At 43.9% G+C, this 17,282-nt stretch overlaps 1 protein-coding gene across 22 annotated transcripts in view; it reads right to left on the bottom strand.

Moving 5' to 3' along the window:
• Nucleotides 1–6,571: 6,571 nt before the first annotated feature.
• NIPAL3 (NIPA like domain containing 3) overlaps nt 6,572–17,282 on the bottom strand; it is a 59,460-nt gene continuing 48,749 nt past the window's right edge. For 16 of the 22 annotated variants that reach the window (NR_136508.2, NR_136506.2, NR_136507.2 and 13 more), the window contains 2 exons: nt 15,435–15,529; nt 6,579–10,569 (listed from right to left, as the gene is read on the bottom strand). Coding sequence is in view for 19 of the 22 variants with exons in the window: in NM_001322854.2 (NP_001309783.1) it covers nt 10,370–10,569; nt 15,435–15,529 (295 nt within the window). In the remaining 3 variants the exon portion in view is untranslated. Of the gene's footprint in view, nt 10,570–13,216; nt 13,552–15,434; nt 15,530–17,282 lie in introns of those variants that run through there. The other 6 variants (XM_047425988.1, XM_047425991.1, NM_001330409.2 and 3 more) reach the window with 2 other exon arrangements.

Genomic DNA, 17,282 nt, shown 5'->3' with positions numbered 1-17,282 from the left:
CACACTTGTTCTTCTCACTTACTGTCTGAGCTCAGAGCCACTCTGGGGCAGAGAGGAGGTGAATGTGTGTGCCTAGGTTGCCATGTTGAACAGGAACCACTAACAGATATTCTTGGCATGGTTAAATAATTGTTTTCTCTCCCACTTAAGGTCAGGGAGTGTCTCTTTTTCAATCTGTGGTCTCCAGGGCTCATCCAGAGCCTCATGGGTCTGGGTCTCCTTTTTTTTATTTTTTTCCCTGAGACGGAGTCTTGCTTTGTCACCTAGGCTGGAGTGCAGTGGTGCAGTCTCGGCTCACTGCAACCTCTACCTCCCGGGTTCAAGCAATTCTCCTGCCTCAGCCTCCTAGGTAGCTGGGATTACAGGCATACACCACCACGCCCAGCTGATTTTTGTATTTTTAGTAGAGATGGGGTTTCACCATCTTGGCCAGGCTGGTCTCGAACTCCTGACTTCAGGTGATCTGCCCACCTCGGCCTCCCAAAGTGCTGGGATTACAGGCGTGAGCCACTGCACCTGGCCTGGGTCTCCTTTTTATAGGGCCTCTCCTCTAAGCTGAGACACAGCATCAGCTAGTGAGGCTGCCTCCTCAGTGCTTGAGTTTCAGCTCCACAGGGCCCCTCCTCCAGGCACCTGCATTTTAATGATTCCAACCTGTTACCTGTCTTCCCCCAGCCCTAGGGGTGGCAGCTTCTGACAGTGTCCTCTCCACAATACCTTAGCCCTCTTTCACCCTTTCAGTTACCTTGTAAAAAAAAAAATGTATACTTAGTTAACAATTATGTATGTATTTATTGTAGAGACAGGGTCTCACTATGTTGCCCAGGCCGGTCTTGAATTCCTGAGCTCAAGCAATCCTCCCACCTCAGCCTCCCAAAGTGCTAGGATTACAGGCGTGAGCCACTGCATCCAACCCTAGTTAACAATTATTTATGTTAAATTTTCTGTTCCAATAACTGCTGTGGCTTCTGTCTCCTGACTTGACCCTGATGGACATGACTGCCTAAGAAATGATACATACCTGGGCTAGGCAGAGTGGCTCACGCCTGTAATCCCACACTTTGGGAGGCCAAGGCAGGCAGATTGCTGGAGTTCAGGAATTCAAGTCCAACCTGGGCAACATGGCAAATCCTGTCTCTAAATTTTTCTAAAAAAATTAAAAAAAAATTTTAAATTAGCTGGGCCTGGTGGTCCCTCCTGTAATCCCAGCTACACAGGAGGCTGAGGTGGGAGGACCACTTGAGCCCAGGAAGTCGAGGCTGCAGTGAGCCGTGATCACACTATTGCTCTCTAGTGTGGGTGACAGAGTGAGACCCTGTCTCAAAATAAATAAATAAAATAAAATAAAGAAATGATACATGCTGGGCACAGTGGTTCATGCCTATAATCCCAGCACTTCAGGAGGCAGAGGCAGGTGGATCACCTGAGGTTAGGGGTTCAAGACCAGCCTGACCGACATGGTGAAACCCCGTCTCTACTAAAATACAAAAATTAGCTGTGCGTGGTGGTGGGCGCCTGTAATCTCAGCTACTCGGGAGGCTGAGGCAGGAGAATCGCTTGAACCCAGGAAGCAGAGGTTGCCGTAAGTTGAGATCGCACCATTGCACTCCAGCGTGGGCAATAAGAGCGAAACTCCGTCTCAAAAAATAAAAGAAAAGAAAAGAAAAAGAAAAAAGAAAAAGAAATGATACACTACGTATATCAATGAAAGGACAGATGGCCTGGCCCAGGGAGTTTATGAAGACTGACAAGCTAATAGCTGTCATGCTACTCAGAACCCAAGGAAGTTTCATTCTATGCAAAAAATAAATAAAAATAAAGAATTTAAAATAATAGTCTATTGATACATAGAGGACTGAAATTTTTTTTAAAATACAGACTTTGAAATCAGTCATATGTAGGTTTGAATCCAGGCTCTGCCACTTACCCACCAGGTGGCCTTGGACAAATTACTGAACTTCCCTGAACCTCCGTTTCCACATGTGTATCATATAACAGGGGTTGAACAGCTTCCTTGTGGGGCCGTTGTGAGAAGAAAATGCATAAAGTATGTAAAGTGCCTGCCCAGAGTGAAAGCTCAATAAAGGGTAGTGGACCTAGAATGTAGGCGGTGTTAAGAGGATGAGACCAGAGATCATAAGACCTGAGTTAAAGTTCTGAGCCTGCAACTGACTAGCCAGTGACATCCTCTCTGTGGCCCTCCCTCTCCTTACACCTATACCAAGACCAAGCGTGGCTCTACAATGCTGGTCTCATCTTACCGGCTTGCAGCAAAATAGGCAAATAATGACAATGTCTGACATTTTTCATAAAGCTAAATTATTCAGTTTAAAGGATTATTATCTGAGATTTTGTTCTTCTTACTGTTTTGGTGTTAATGTCTTTTTTAAATGAAATGACAGGATAGTAGGGTATTTTTTTTTCCTTCCTATGTTCTGATTTGACAAAATAAGTTTGAAGAAGAGCAAGGAGCTGAGACTTGCCCAAACAGATTGGAAACATATTGGAAAGCCTTGATAATTGGAACAGTGTTACTGGTGAATGTATAGGCAGACCACTGGAACAGAATGGCAAGTCCCAAAACTATAGATATTTAGTGTATTATAGAAGTGGCATCCAATTCTTCAGGGCAAATTGGACTATTCCATAAATGGTATTGGCATAGCTTGGTAGCTATCTCAGCAGAATAAAGTTGGATCCATACCTTGAACTGTGCACCAGAATAAACTCCAATGGCTTTCAGATGTAAACACACAACCAGACTATTGTCTAGTAAGTCCAACATAAAAAAAAAAAAACTAAAAAGACTCAAAGATGACGTGGGGAATTCTTTTATAATCTTGGAGTAAGTTAGACCTTTCAAACTATGTTTCAAAATCCAGAAGCTATAAAAGAAAAGACACTCGATTGTGTAATACAAATATTTATATAAGTAAATAACATATTTATATAGACATAACTATATGTAAAACAAAAAACACAGAAGAAAAAGTCTCTTTCATAGTAAAAATAAATACTAGAAGCAAATCAAAAGGCAAGTAACAAACCGGGGGGAAATAATTGTAGGTGTTATCACAGAGAAAAGGTTAATTGATACCAAAGAGCACTTTCAAATAAATAAGAAACCAAAAGAACCATCGAATGGTGAGCAAAGCCTATGGACAATTTACAAAAAAAAAAAAAAACAAATAGTGGCTGGGCGTGGTAGCTTATGCCTGTAATCCCAGCACTTTGGGAGGCCGGGGCGGGTGGATCATCTGAGGTCAGGAGTTTGAGACCAGCCTGACCAACATAGTGAAACCCCATCTCTACTAAAAATACAAAAATTAGCCAGGTATAGTGGCACACACCTGAAATCCCAGCTACTTGGGAGGCTGAGGCAGGAGAATCGCCTGAACCCGGGAGGCGGAGGTTGCAGTGAACCGAGATCACACAATTGTACTCCAGCCTGGGCAACAAGAGCAAAACTCTGTCTCGGAAAAAAAAAAAAAAAAAAGTACATGAACATATGCAAAGATGCTTAGTCTCATTCCTACAAAGAGACATTTGTGACTTGACAATTTTGATAGAAGATATTTTCATAATTATAAGACAATATAAGAGATTGCTATCTAGTTTCCTGAATCATCCCAGGAGACCTACACAGCTGAGCTTTGTAAGATCAGAGTGTAGGGACAACCGCATAACTGTATTTCTGACGCTATTGTTTAAAAGACAAACAGGAGAGTTAAAGATAGGGCTTTCTGGTTTTTTTTGCGTCTTTTAACTTCTTAAAAAGTAATCCTGAGAATTAAGTGCATCAAAGTTTCTAGAGTGCCTCACATTTCAGTACAAGCTGGAGAAGGCAGAAAGCAATGCTCTCACTGCCATGTGAATCTTCTCTCCTTACACCTGGGCAGCTTTCACAGCACTATGCTCCTACCTGAATACCTTATGGCATCACAATGGGAAAATGTTTGTTTCTTGGCTTGCATTTGCTTTATATTTATAATTTTAATATTCTGCTTGGTGCATTTTGACATTTAATAAGGTCATGACAGAACATGGTGCTGCTGCACCAAACATCGTCTTTTTCTTAAGCAAGCCTTGGACTTTGTTTCCTTTTTTATTGTTTGTTTGAACAAAGAAAGCTGATTTTGTAGAGAAACTAATAAGAAACCTATTAAAGAGAACAAGATTAGCTACAGAGTTAGTAGCCTTTTGCCAATCTCTATTTAAAAATTTTTATTTCATGAAACCAAAAAGTAAAATAAAAACTGAATAAACAAAAAAATTAATGAGAACAAGATTAACGACATAACCTTTTGCCAATCTCAATCTAAATATTTTATTTCATAAAACCAGAAAGTAAAAACTAATAAAAATAACCACTGAATAAGCAGCAAAAAATTAATGAGAACAAGATTAACTATAAACAGTAACTCTTTGTCAATCTCTGTTTTAAAATTGTACTGTTTCATGAAATAAAGTCTGAGAGTTGTGGATGATTCTGAAATTCCCTCCAGGTCTCTGAAAGGCTGAATTTTTTTTTTTTTTTTTTTTTTTTTGAGATGGAGTCTCACTCTGTGGCCAGGCTGGAGTGCAATGGCACAGTCTTGGCTCACTGCAACCTCTGCCTCCTGGGTTCAAGCGATTCTCCTGCCTCAGCCTCCCAAGCAGCTGGGACTACAGGCGTGCACCACCACGCCCAGCTAATCTTTGTATATTTATTAGAGACGGGGTTTCACCATGTTGGCCAGGATGGTCTTGATCTCTTGATCTTGTGATCTGTCTGCCTCAGCCTCCCAAAGTGCTGGGATTACAGGCGTGAGCCACCGCACCTGGCCGGTAGACTGAATTTTATTCCCTCATCTGGTTTGCAGGTGGGACCATTGCAAACGTGGTCCCCAGAGACTCAGCTAATGAGCTTCTGTCCTTCAAGTCTGCACCTTCCTTTGAAACTGGGCCAAAGGTGATGTCCTAACCCATGGCAGACCTTACTCCCATTAAAATCCTGTTTGCCCACACCAGGAGAGGCAGCACAGTGAGGGAAGAGCTCAGGTTTTGGAGTCAGGCAGTCCTGGGCTCAAATACTGGCTCTGCTGTTCACCAGCTATGAGACCTGAGTCTCAATTTCTTTTCTTTTTGAGATAGGGTCTTGCTCTGTTGCCCAGGCTGGAATGCAGAGGTGCAATCATGGCTCACTGCAGCCTCAGTCTCCTGGGCTCAAGCAATCTTTTCACCTCAGCCTCCTGAGTAGCTGGGACTACTGGCACACACCACCATGCCTGCTAATTTTTATTTTAATTTTTAATTTTTTTTTTAGTAGAGATGGGGTCTTGCTATGTTGTGCAGGCTGGTCTCAAATTGCTGAGCTCAAGTGATCCTCCTACCTTGGCCTCCCAAAGTGGTGGCATTACAGGCATAAGCCACCATGCCCAGTCAGTCTCAGTTTCTTCATCTGTAAAAGGATATGATTAAAATTTACCTCATGGAACTTTTATAAAGGAGAAATGAGATATAAATATGAGGTCTTAATATATCATGTGGCATACAGTAAGTGCTTAATATATGAGTATGTATATATGACTCTGTATTTTATTTTTGTGACTGTACAAATAAATATATAGGTACCATACTACACCTGCCTTTGCAAATTGGAAACTTGGAATGAAGAGACATATGTGCTTAGAAATACTTAAGATCAAAAGTGTTCATTATATAATTTAAAAAAGAATAAAGAGAAAAAAACCCCATTGTTTCAATATAATACAATGCCTTGATGGGATGCTCAATATAGTTCTAAGACTTTACATCTATTAACCCATCCAATCCTAAAACAATCCTTAATAATGCTGTTATTCCTGTTTCACAGATGAAGCACAGACAGGTTAAGTAACCTGCCCAATGCTACACAGCTAACAGGTGAGAGAGGAATCAAATCCAAGCAGTGTAGACAGAGAGTCTGTGCTTTTTTTTTTTTTTTTTTTGAGATGGAGTTTCACTCTTGTTCCCTCTTGTTGCCCAGGCTGGAGTGCAATGGTGCAATCTTGGCTCACCGCAACCTCCACCTCCCAGGTTCAAGGGACTCTCCTTGCCTCAGCCTCCCGAGTAGCTGGGATTACAGGCACGTGCCACCATGCCTGGCCAATTTTATATTTTTAGCAGAGACGGGGTTTCTCCATGTTGGTCAGGATGGTCTCAAACTCCTGACCTCAGGTGGTCTGCCTGCCTCAGCCTCCCAAAGTGTTGGGATTACAGGCATGAGCCACCGTGCCTGGCCAAGAGTCTGTGCTTTTAACCACGGTGAAGGTTGCAGGGGAAGCTCAAGTGAGCCTCAGCTGCAATAATGGGCATCTCTAGATCTGTACTGTTAATATACGAACTATATGGAAATGTAATTAGATGAAATTAAACATTCAGTTCCTTGGTTGCACTAGCCACATTTAAAGTGTTCAACAGCCACCTGTGGAGAGTGGCTACCATGTTGGGCAGCATAGACATAGAACACTTCCATCATCGCAGAAAGTTCTACTAGACAGTACTGTTCTAGATAATTCTAGGAAGTATTAGCCAAACATAAGACACGAACTCAGCTGTCACTGCATGGATTTTTAATTAAATACCACTTCATAATGTTATTTGCACCTAGTACTTTTTTTTTTTTAAATAAGACATGCCATAAGTCGTGAAGTTAACAAAATATAAGCATCCGCACAGAATATATTCTAAGGTGACTTCATTTACACCGCTTCTCAGAGAAACACACAAGTAACCTTTTGTCTGCCTATCAGCCAGTGTTGAAACAGCTTTGGAATTCACATGGAAGGCTGCCGGGCTGGTTCCCCAACACTAGCCTGATGGAGTCCTGTATCCGCACCGTGCCGTCAAACTGGCTGGTTTCCACTAGAAAAGCAATGGAGAGTCAGCTCTCCCTTCTTTACCCAGCGTTCAACTCCACACTGCAAAAACTGCATAACCTGAACCCTGCTGTGATGGCAACTGAAGTTTAAACCCAAGTTTGGTGACCTTGCTTTAGGTACCTGGGCTGCTCAAAAGGAGACCGAGGTGTGATATTTAACATTGCTTGCAACATTCAAGAGGGCTTGGGGACGTCAGAGCCATGAGTAACAATAACGAACCAGGGCTATGAGTGGAATCCTGATGTACCCCTTCCCCATCTTAACAGCCAGTGCTGCGTATGGCCATCAGCAGACAGTCCATTTATACCACTGGACAAAGATTGGGAGGAACCAGCCCAAGACAGATGATGGCTCCACACCCACTGTGCTTCCTGACTACTCAAGTGACCTACGTGTGGCTTCCAGTCAGGAAACTACCATTTAACTTTCTGCTCAGCCCTTTCATGGCTCAGGTTGGTGGGATGATGCCACTGCTCCAAACCCGAAGGCAAGGGAGCTTCCCAGGCCTCAGCAGCAGTTCCTGGGTGGCACTGTCCCCATGATCTGAAGCAGACATGAAATTACAATACGCTTTTATTCACTCATCTCAAGAAAGCTGGCTGGCCCAAGCCTAAAAGGCCCATACCAAAAAAAAAAAAAAAAAAGGGAAGGAAGGGGGCAGAGTAAGTTTGGGAGCATATATATGCCCAAATTATTAATGATCACCCGGGTTTGACACATCTAAATAGCCTCCCTGCTCACCTTCTGTTTCTCCCTCCTGCCTCCACTCCCAGCTTTAGAAAAATCATTTGGGAAAGGAGAAATATATAAATAGCAGTGAAACCTGATTTTAATTTCTGCTTTTTGTTTTTTGTTCTTGCAGGCTCGGAGAAGGTAACTTATTCCCCCTTCTGATTCTTCCTCCACACTGAACAAGCCCTCCTTTTCAATCAGTGCTGGTCCTGCCCTTCTCTTCCTCATGAACCATCAGTGGCTCCCACGTCCTCTTGGATACACTTTAAACTCCTTAGCCAGGTATTCAAGACCCTCCATGATTCGGCCTCCACTGCTTATCTTTTTTTTTTTTTTTTTTTTGAGCCATGGTCTCATTGTCACCCAGGCTGGAGTGCAGTAGCATGATCATGGCTCACTGTAGCCTTGGCTCTCTGGGCTCTAGCGATCCTCCCACCTCAGCCTCCTGAGTAGCTAGGATCACAGGCATGCACCACCACACCCAGCTAATTTATTTATTTTTAATTTTTAGCAGAGATGAGGTCTTGCTATGTTGCCCAGGCTGATATAAAACTCCTGGGCTCAAGTGATCCTCCAGCCTTGGCCTCCCAAAGTGCTGGGATTGCAGGCATGAGCCACTGTGCCCAGCTTCCACTACTTAGCTTTGAGACTCATCTCCCACCACCTTCCCTGGCTTTCCTTTCTTTGCCCAGCTCCTCTTAGCTCTGTGCCTTTGCAAATGCTGGCCCCTCTGCCTCGGGGGTGATCACCCTATTTTATATGCTTTATACAAATCTTAGATTTGCCACCCATCTATGAGTGGGGCCAAAATCATCTCCACTTCTGAATACCCCTTTGGGCTCAGGGTCCGACCTTTAGCAGGGTCTCCATGACGGTCATTTTCTGTGGCCCACGACCGCACTTCACACCCATCAGAGATTCCTGGGTATTTGTGCCTCCCTCTGCTGGCCTGGAGGGCAGGAACTATGTCTTATTTTGTAGCCTGGGTCTTCCAAATGCTTAGCACACAGTAAATGCCTTATAAATATTGTTGAATTGATACCCATCCTAAGGGAAAGGGGCCCACTGCCCATTGCCGCCTTAGGCAGTTAAGACCACACAATACAGAAGTGGTTAAGACGCAATACAGAAGTGGTTATCACAGACAACAGATGTCAGTTTTTGGAGTCAAGATACTAAATCAGTATTAAGCACAATCCATAAAGATAAGTGATCTATCACACTGGTCTATTAACACTGTTATCATGCCTATTAAAGGCTGTCTAGGGAAGTGGTGAGTGTAGCTCTAAGTAGTATTCATTGGATGGAGAAATGCCACAGATCCTATGGGGAGTATTTAACCTTCCAAAGGAACCCTAGGGAGGAAATTTTCTAGCAAGACTGCATGGGGCCCTGGGGGTTTTAGCAGAACATCTTTGTAAATTCTTAGGCTTTCCAGATGTGAAATCTCGGGATTGAAGCATCGCATCAGAATCACTGGTGGTACCAGTTAAGAATGCAGACCCGTGGGCCCCACTCCAGTCCCACTTAACAGTGTCTGCAGTTGGGGTGCAGGAATCTGCATTTTACATATGCTTCTAGGGGATCCTTATGCCCATTAAAGTTTGCAAACCTTTATCCGCCCCTCTCAAAAGTATACCATCAGTCTAGGGGAAGACAGTCACATATGCGGCCAGGAAGAAAGCAACAGCCCTGTTTTGGAGAATGCTTGCTTCTCCCAGACATATATGCATGGGGATGAGGACCCAGAGAGTCTCTATTGACTTCAAGGAAATTAACCAGTAACTCAAGCTTGGCTTGTGGCTCTGTAATGGAGAGACGGAGGACAGGTGAAGAGGCTGTCTCTGAAATGAGCATCCCCATCTTTCCAGGGGGCACTGGTATGCAGGAAAAAAATAACACATAAAATGGCCAGATTTTCTACCTATCCTTTTTTAAGTGGTGCAATCACCTTTTGTAAGAGTAAGGGGAACTTTTCTTCCTTAATGGGCTAAAGCATCATCACCCTCTCCTATCCTCCATATTCTTCCCCTTCTCTTAACTTCCTAATTCCTTTGGTGGAGGAGGTGGACAAACAAGTAGTCCTCACAGGACCAAAACCAAGTTTCGTTTTCAGAGTAGATCCAATTTGAACATATCAAGCACATCTTCCCTAGAAGGGCACAGATGACTGGAAGGCAGATGTACATTTCTGAAAACACAAATGTCAGAACCTTCCACCCAGGGTTGGCCCAGCCTGCCATGTGAAGGCAACACGAGTGCTATCACAGATGCGGCATCAGGAGTGTCAGGGTGAGATCAGGCATGCACATGAGGTGGAGGAAGACGAGATTTAGAGATGTCCAGCCTTTCGCTGGATTTGAGAATTAACAGCAGACTCTCTGTCTTGCCTTAGCTCTGAAGGATACAGCATCCTTTGGTCACTGTCAGAGGAAGCTCAGTTACCATCCTCAAGGATGGTAGAAAGGCTTTCCAAATCCCCCTGGGCTAATCCAGGCAGAGGCTGGATTCTATCCCGTCCACCTGGAATAATGCTTCCATCCCCCAACCCTCATCATTTGAAATTTCCAAGACCAAGATAACGCATCCTTTCCCAGAGACAAAGGCTTTTTGAGATCATCATCCATAGAGTTCTCAGTTAGAAACAAAATGAGACTTGAAAGGCAAGTTTTAGGATTCAGGGTTGAACCACTGTCAGCCTGGAGGGGACAGTTATAAATAGAGGGAGGCGAGTCTCATTCCTTCTTGGTGTGCTCTAGGACTCGGTAGGGGACCCCAGAGGCACTTCTGGAGCCGTGCTCTTCTTGCATGACTGGCAGGGTGGCAGGAGCGTAGATCTCAGAAATGTTGTCATTGTTTTCCAGAGCCCCATAGGAAAAAGAAGCTTTAAGTTCAGGCTGGACAGTCATCCCTTTATCGTGCATGTTCTGCATACCTGAAATGAAATCCATTTTCTCCAAATCATTACGCGGTAAGGGGGCCAAGGAGGCCGCATCTCCCTCTATCCCGCCACAGACTAATTATAGTGCTCAGCAGCTAATCATGTGCATTGTCAATTTCCTGAATGCTTTAGATTTAAAAGAGAACACCCACAAATATACACTGGAACTATTACGGTTGCTAAGCAACAAGGGATGAATCTTCAGGAAATATGCACACAGACCAGCTGCTGTCAGGAGGAACCCTCAGTTGGCCTAAAGTGAGGTGGGAATGTCGGTGTGGGCCCCAGGTGGAATGGAACTAGCACTGTGCTTTGAACGTGGTAGATGCCAATGCTTCACTGCTGAATTAAATCAGGAACCAGGAAACTTTGTTACACTGTCGAGGAAAGAGGGTAATTTTTGTGTCATGGGCACCTGAAGGTGACAGATGCATCCTGATGCCAGAGGGAGCATCTTGGACTTTAACTTTAAATTCCCTGGTCCACTTATAGGGGAAGGTGAGATTTGCTTATTATTACTTCTGGGTACTTTGACAAGGGACTCCTACTTACATTTGAGGGCAAAGCCTTTAATCTTTAATTCCTTTACCTTTGTCCTACAATTCCCCTAGTCAGGTCAGGAGGGACGCAGTTTGTTTGTTTATTTATTTATTTATTTATTTATTGAGACAGGGTCTTGCTCTGTCGCCCAGGCTGGAGTGCAGTGGAGCGATCTTGGCTCACTGCAGCCTCAACCTCTGGGGCTCCAGTGATCCTCCCACATCAGCCTCCTGAGTGGCTGGTACTACAGGTGCATGCCACCATGCCTGGCTAATTTTTTGTGGGTTTTTTTGAGGGGGAGAGATGGGGTTTCAGCATGTTGCCCAGGCTGGTCTCAAACTTCTGGGCTGAATTGATCCACCTGCCCCACCTCCCAAAGTGTTGGGATTACAGGTGTGAGCCATTTCGCCAGGCCGATTACTTTTGAGGCCAACTTTTCCTGCCAGGGAATTAAGACTTCAGATTCTGCCTTCAGGCCGAGTCATAAGAAATTGAATGCAATGAAACTATGATGATAATAACAGCTGACATCTAACTGTTTAATATGCCCTGGGCACTGGGCTAAAGCACTTTCTTTTTTGAGGTAGAGTCTATGTTTTCCAGGCTAGTCTTGAATACCTGGGGCTCAAATGATCCTCCTGCCTCAGTCACCCAAGTAGCTGGGATTACAGGTGTGAGCTACAACACCTGACTGGGCTAAGCACTTTAAATAGTAACAGTAACAACAATAGCAATGACAATGGCTTATGTGTATTGAGTATTTAATTGGTGGCAGATACTGTTCCAAATAGTTATAAAGTTCTATCTCATTTGATCCTCAGGATGACTAATAACGAAAATGAAGCAGCAGAAATGAAGCATGTAATTTGCCTGGGATCACACAGCTAGTAAGAGGCAGTGCCAGGGTCCAAACTCGGGGGTTTCAACTTGGAAGTCCATACTTTTTATTTATTTATTTTTTTTGAGACGGAGTCTCACTCTGTCCACCCAGACCCAGGCTGGAGTGCAGTGGCGTGATCTCAGCTCACTGCAAGCTCCACCTCCTGGGTTCACACCATTCTCCTGCCTGAGCCTCCCGAGTAGCTAGGACTACAGGCACCCGCCACCACGCACAGCTAATTTTTTTTTTTTTGTATTTTTAGTAAAGACGGGGTTTCACCGTGTTAGCCAGGATGGTCTCGATCTCCTGACCTTGTGATCTGCCCGCCTCGGCCTCCCAAAATGCTGGGATTACAGGCGTGAGCCACCGTGCCTGGCCGGAAGTCCATACTCTTAACTGAATGCTGTGTGGCTTCCCTATATACCTGCACTTAATCCCTAAACAATCCTATGACAGAGATGAACTACTGTCCTCATTTTCTGGATAAGAAGAGATTCAGAGAGGTGAAGTAACTTGCCCAAGGTCACACAGCTAATGAGAGACCAAGGTGGGATCTGCCACCAGAGACCAAGGTGGGATCTGCAGTGCTCTTACCCACTCTGCAAATGGCCTGGGAAGACCCAGTCTGTGAAAGGCCCTTTGGCTCCCTATTGCATAAGACTTAACTGATGGTTCTTTGAAGGGCACAGTTTAAGAGTCTGTGCTTTGGATTTTGGGGGAGGGCAGAAGAGGGAAGTGGAAGAGCTGAGGAGGTGCCCGTTCTCAGGGAAGAGAGCTGGCTTAACAGGCCTGGATTACCTTTTGGATTTTGTCAATGCCCTCCAGCCAGAGACCAACAGGAATACACCTAAAGTCTAACAAATATGGGTTTATTGACACATTGCAATGAGAGAGGTGTACACGGCGGGGAACCACGAACCATGTAAGAGGGGGTTAGAAAGGAGTTATTGTGGGGTTGGCTTGGACTAGGTGATTTTTGGGGAGGGTTCAAGGAAGTGAGGCTTTGCTTTGGGTTGGATGCTGTCAGGAAGCAGGGCTAATTCCATAATTGGAGATCTTAGCTTTTACCTAGAAGATGCCTAGATTGAAGCTAAAGCTGTGCCTGGTAAAGAAGCGGCAGTCTCTCACATTAGCAAGGTCAGAGGGATGTTTGGTGTTTTTCATGATTTGGACAATGTCCATTTTTTGTCTATGTTTAGTCAGGCTAGCAGAGTAGTCCTGTTTGTGTTCTTTTATTTATTTATTTATTTTTAATTTTAGGAAAAAAACCCTTTTCTTCCCATTCCACCTGCTTGTGTCCTGATCCATCACAGCTGCAGAGTGGCCTTGTCTGCTGCTGATGTTCTGTGAAATTGTTTCTGTTCCACAGGAAAGGGCCAAGGCCTGGCTGAGAGTGCCAGGCTAGTTCCTGGAGGTCAGGGGCTGTTTCTCGATCTCATTTTTAAGAAGTCTTTCAGGTGCTTGAATTACTCAAAGGCTCTCCAAATTGTGATGTGGTAAATTTCTGGAATTTGAATACCTCTTGAACAGCAGTTGTCTGTTGTGAAGATATGAATCTAGGTAGACAAAAGGCAAGATCCTAATGCTGACCAGGGAAACCAAGTGGCTGGAAAAGCACCTCTGTTTAGACTGAGACTGTTCAGCAGTTTTATTCTGCATGTTCTACCTGCCACCAGGTCAAACAAGTGTGTGAAACTTCCAAAGGTTTTTAAAGCAAAAGGGAAGTGAAACCAAATATAACCAGGCATCTACCATGTCCCAGACACCGTGCAAGAGGCCTTTACACATATGACCACTAGCCTGAAAGAAGGAATCCCAGTTACAAGTGAGGATGAGAGGCCTTGGGAGGTCACACAGCAGGAAGGTGGTAGAGTTGGGATTTGAATCCAGGTCATCTGAACTCCAAGCCCACGCTCTTCACAGTACAGAACACCTACAATCGGAAGTGTCCTGACAAGCCACTGCAAGGGCAGGGTCTCCCTGATTCAACAGCTGACTTCCCACTGGTCACAAGGTACAAAGAAAAAGCTGAGAGCCACACCCACAAACATACCACAGAATGTTGATATCTAAGACTACCTTAGGTTACCTTCTATTTTCCACCAGAAAATACATCTATATATATATATATATACACACACAAATACTGATATTGATATATACACATAGTTTGTAAACACACAAACACACATATACATACACATACTTGCACACACAGAGTTGACACCTCACCTATCTGGAATTCAGCTATCCAGCGCCCTCATCTATCCGGAACACAGCCGAGAAACAAGGAAGTTAGCAAAAAAGGAATCTGAGCAGCCAGATTAGACGTTTAAAAAGTTCATGCACCAAAGCTCATGCACTTAACTCCTAGGAGAAATCTTAGGCCCCCAACTCAGAGCTCCTTCATTTTGATTTTATTTGTAATCTGAACAAGCTGGGTTGAAGGAGCACATTGACATTGAGTTGCTATACTCAGGCAGGCTGGCTACAGCAAGAAGGACAGACAACAGCTTAATAACGAGAGAGGAGGAACTAATATAAAAAGTAGACACATAAACCCTGGGGCCATTTAATGTAGGGGCACACCAGTCAACCCTGAGAACACACCTGCATCACAGCGTTACAGCATGAAAACCTCTCGAGTAAGCAGTCCTCTAGACCATCAGTGTGTTTATATTTTGTTCATGAGATTGTGTTAATGAAGGACAGGAGATTATGTTTTAGAGAGAGTTCCATCTTGTATAAATAAAATTAAAATGTTGAGTTAAGTGTGAAAGCTAATGGTCACCAGCAACCTACAGAGTTTAGGTCAGCAAATCTGAGGTTGGTCCAATGTCTTAACTTTTCTAATCCGAATTCCTTTAGGCTAGACAGGCACTCTCCAGTCCTCCGCAGGTCCCACCACTCCCTGCTGGGCAGTATTGGGCTGATTCACATGCTTATGTTACTGTCAGGGCTTACAGACATTTAAATTTGTGTTTCTCGGTATGAATCCTTAGCTCGCTAGGAAATTAGGCTTTCCAGAATGATGCACTCCCTTGTGGCATCCAGGGAGTGAGATTATAATATTTTAATTTCATTCCACTCATTCTCCTTCCCCTTTCTGATCATTTCATTCCAACTAGATGAATGGATTTTTCCATTTGCAGGCATGAAGCCTGGGGCTGCAGATCCTAATTATATTGAGTATGAATCAGAATTTTATTTAAAAGATCCCCAAATAGACACAGAACTGGCAAGATGTGCTCAAAACCAACCGAGGTGCCTCAGCCATTGCCTACCCTTTTGCACAAAATTAAAAAGAAAAGAAAAAAGACAGTGAGAGAACAGTCACACGATAAAGGCACAGCACAGCAGTTGGTTGTCTCTTTTTAAACAGGAAGTAGCAGTCATTCTATATGGATGTTCAGCTAGACCCACGGGGCTTTAACCTTACCTGGCATGGCATCCATGGAAATATAGGGCTCAAATGGAATGGGCTTCTTCCTGTTACGCGTGATTAAGAAGACGCCCAAGAATGCAATGAGGCACCTGCGGAATGGAGATAAGATAGGAAGAGAAATAAGGCCAGGAGCAAGGTCGGGCAGGCACACTTTCAGGCTCAGGTGATGGAAAGAGGTAAAAAGGCTTGCAGGCTGCGGAGGAGGGCTCACCGCCCAAGGAGCCCTGAGAGGCTGCCAGCCTCTCAGGGGATCAGCAGGGGCAGATGCAAGTTGAATAACAATAGCTGGAGTGGCCTCACATGCCCTACACTCTCCATGAGCTGTAATCAGAATAAATTAGACTCTCCTGGGCGAGCTTCTCATGGCTCTTCACTTCCATTCAATCAGGATTCTCGGAAGCTTGCCTTTTAAAACATTTTCTTAAATTGAAGTCATTCATTTCAATCATTACTGAAGTATAGATAGTAAAAATCAATAAAAATTGGAGAGTCCCTGTACTCCTGGTCTCACTCGGCCAGGTAGGTGTATAGCCTTCCAGGTTATTTTTTGTTTTGTTTTTTCCCTTTTTCCTATAGCTTACATAAACAAGCATACTTTCTAAACATTAAGGTATAATTTATAAGCAGCAAAATGCACAAACCCTAGATGTCTAGCTGAATGAATTTTACTTGGGGAATCATCAACCAGTTCAAGACAGAAAATACGTCCATCCCCCTCAGAAAGTTTTCCTGGGCCCCTTTCCATTTCATGCCAGCCCTTCCCCAGAGGTAACTACTATCTTGACTTCTCTCACCATGGATGAAATTAGTCTGTTCTTTAATTCATGTAAGTTAAATCATACAATATGTACTCTTTTATGTCTGGTTTCTTTCATTTGATAAAATGTTAAGATTCATCTTCCTTTTTTATTTTTTTGATTTTTTTTTGAGATGGAGTCTCGCTCTGTTGCCCAGGCTGGAGTCAAGTGGCAGGATCTCGGCTCACTGCAACCTCCACCTCCCAGGTTCAAGCGATCCTCCTGCCTCAGCCCCCCAGTACCTGGGATTACAGGCACGTGCCAGCATGCCAGGCTAATTTTTGTATTTTTAGTACAAAATTTTGTATTTTGTATTTTTAGTATTTTGTATTTTAGTATTTTTAGTATTTTTGTATTTTGTAATTTTGTATTTTTAGTAGAGATGGGGTTTTGCCATGTTGGCAAACCACCAGGCTGGTCTCGAACTCCTGATCTCAGGTGATCCACCCGCCTCAGCCTCCCAAAGTGCTGGGATTACAAGCATGAGCCACCATGCTTGGTCAAGATTCATCTTCTTTATTGTATGTATTAGTAGTTCATTATTTTTTTTCGAGACTGAGTCTTGCTCTGTCGCCCAGGCTGGAGTGCAGTGCTGTGATCTTGGCTCACTGCAACCTCTGCCGCTCGGGTTCAATCCATTATACTGCCTCAGCCTCCCGAGTAGCTGGGATTACAGGTGCAAGCCACCACGCCTGGCTAATTTTTGTATTTTTAGTAGAGACAGGGTTTTGCCACTGTGGTCAGGCTGGTCTCGAACTCCTGACCTCAAGTGATCCTCCCGCCTTGGCCTGCTAAAGTGCTGGGATTACAGGCGTGAGCCACTGTACCTGGCTTATAGCTCATTATTTTAATTGTTGCGTAGAACCCATTGTCTGAATATACTATGTTTTTCCTACTCTCCTGTTGGTAGACATTTGGGTTGTTTCCAATTTAGACCTATGATGAATAAAGCTACTATATAAATACTCATGTGCGAGTCATTTTGTCAACAGATGCTGATATGGTTTGGCTGTTTCCCCACCCAAATCTCATCTTGAATTGTAGT

The sequence above is a fragment of the Homo sapiens genome, chromosome 1 (assembly GCF_000001405.40).
Source record: "Homo sapiens chromosome 1, GRCh38.p14 Primary Assembly".
Classification (NCBI taxonomy): domain Eukaryota; kingdom Metazoa; phylum Chordata; class Mammalia; order Primates; family Hominidae; genus Homo; species Homo sapiens.
This window is presented reverse-complemented; position numbering and strand designations above follow the sequence as displayed.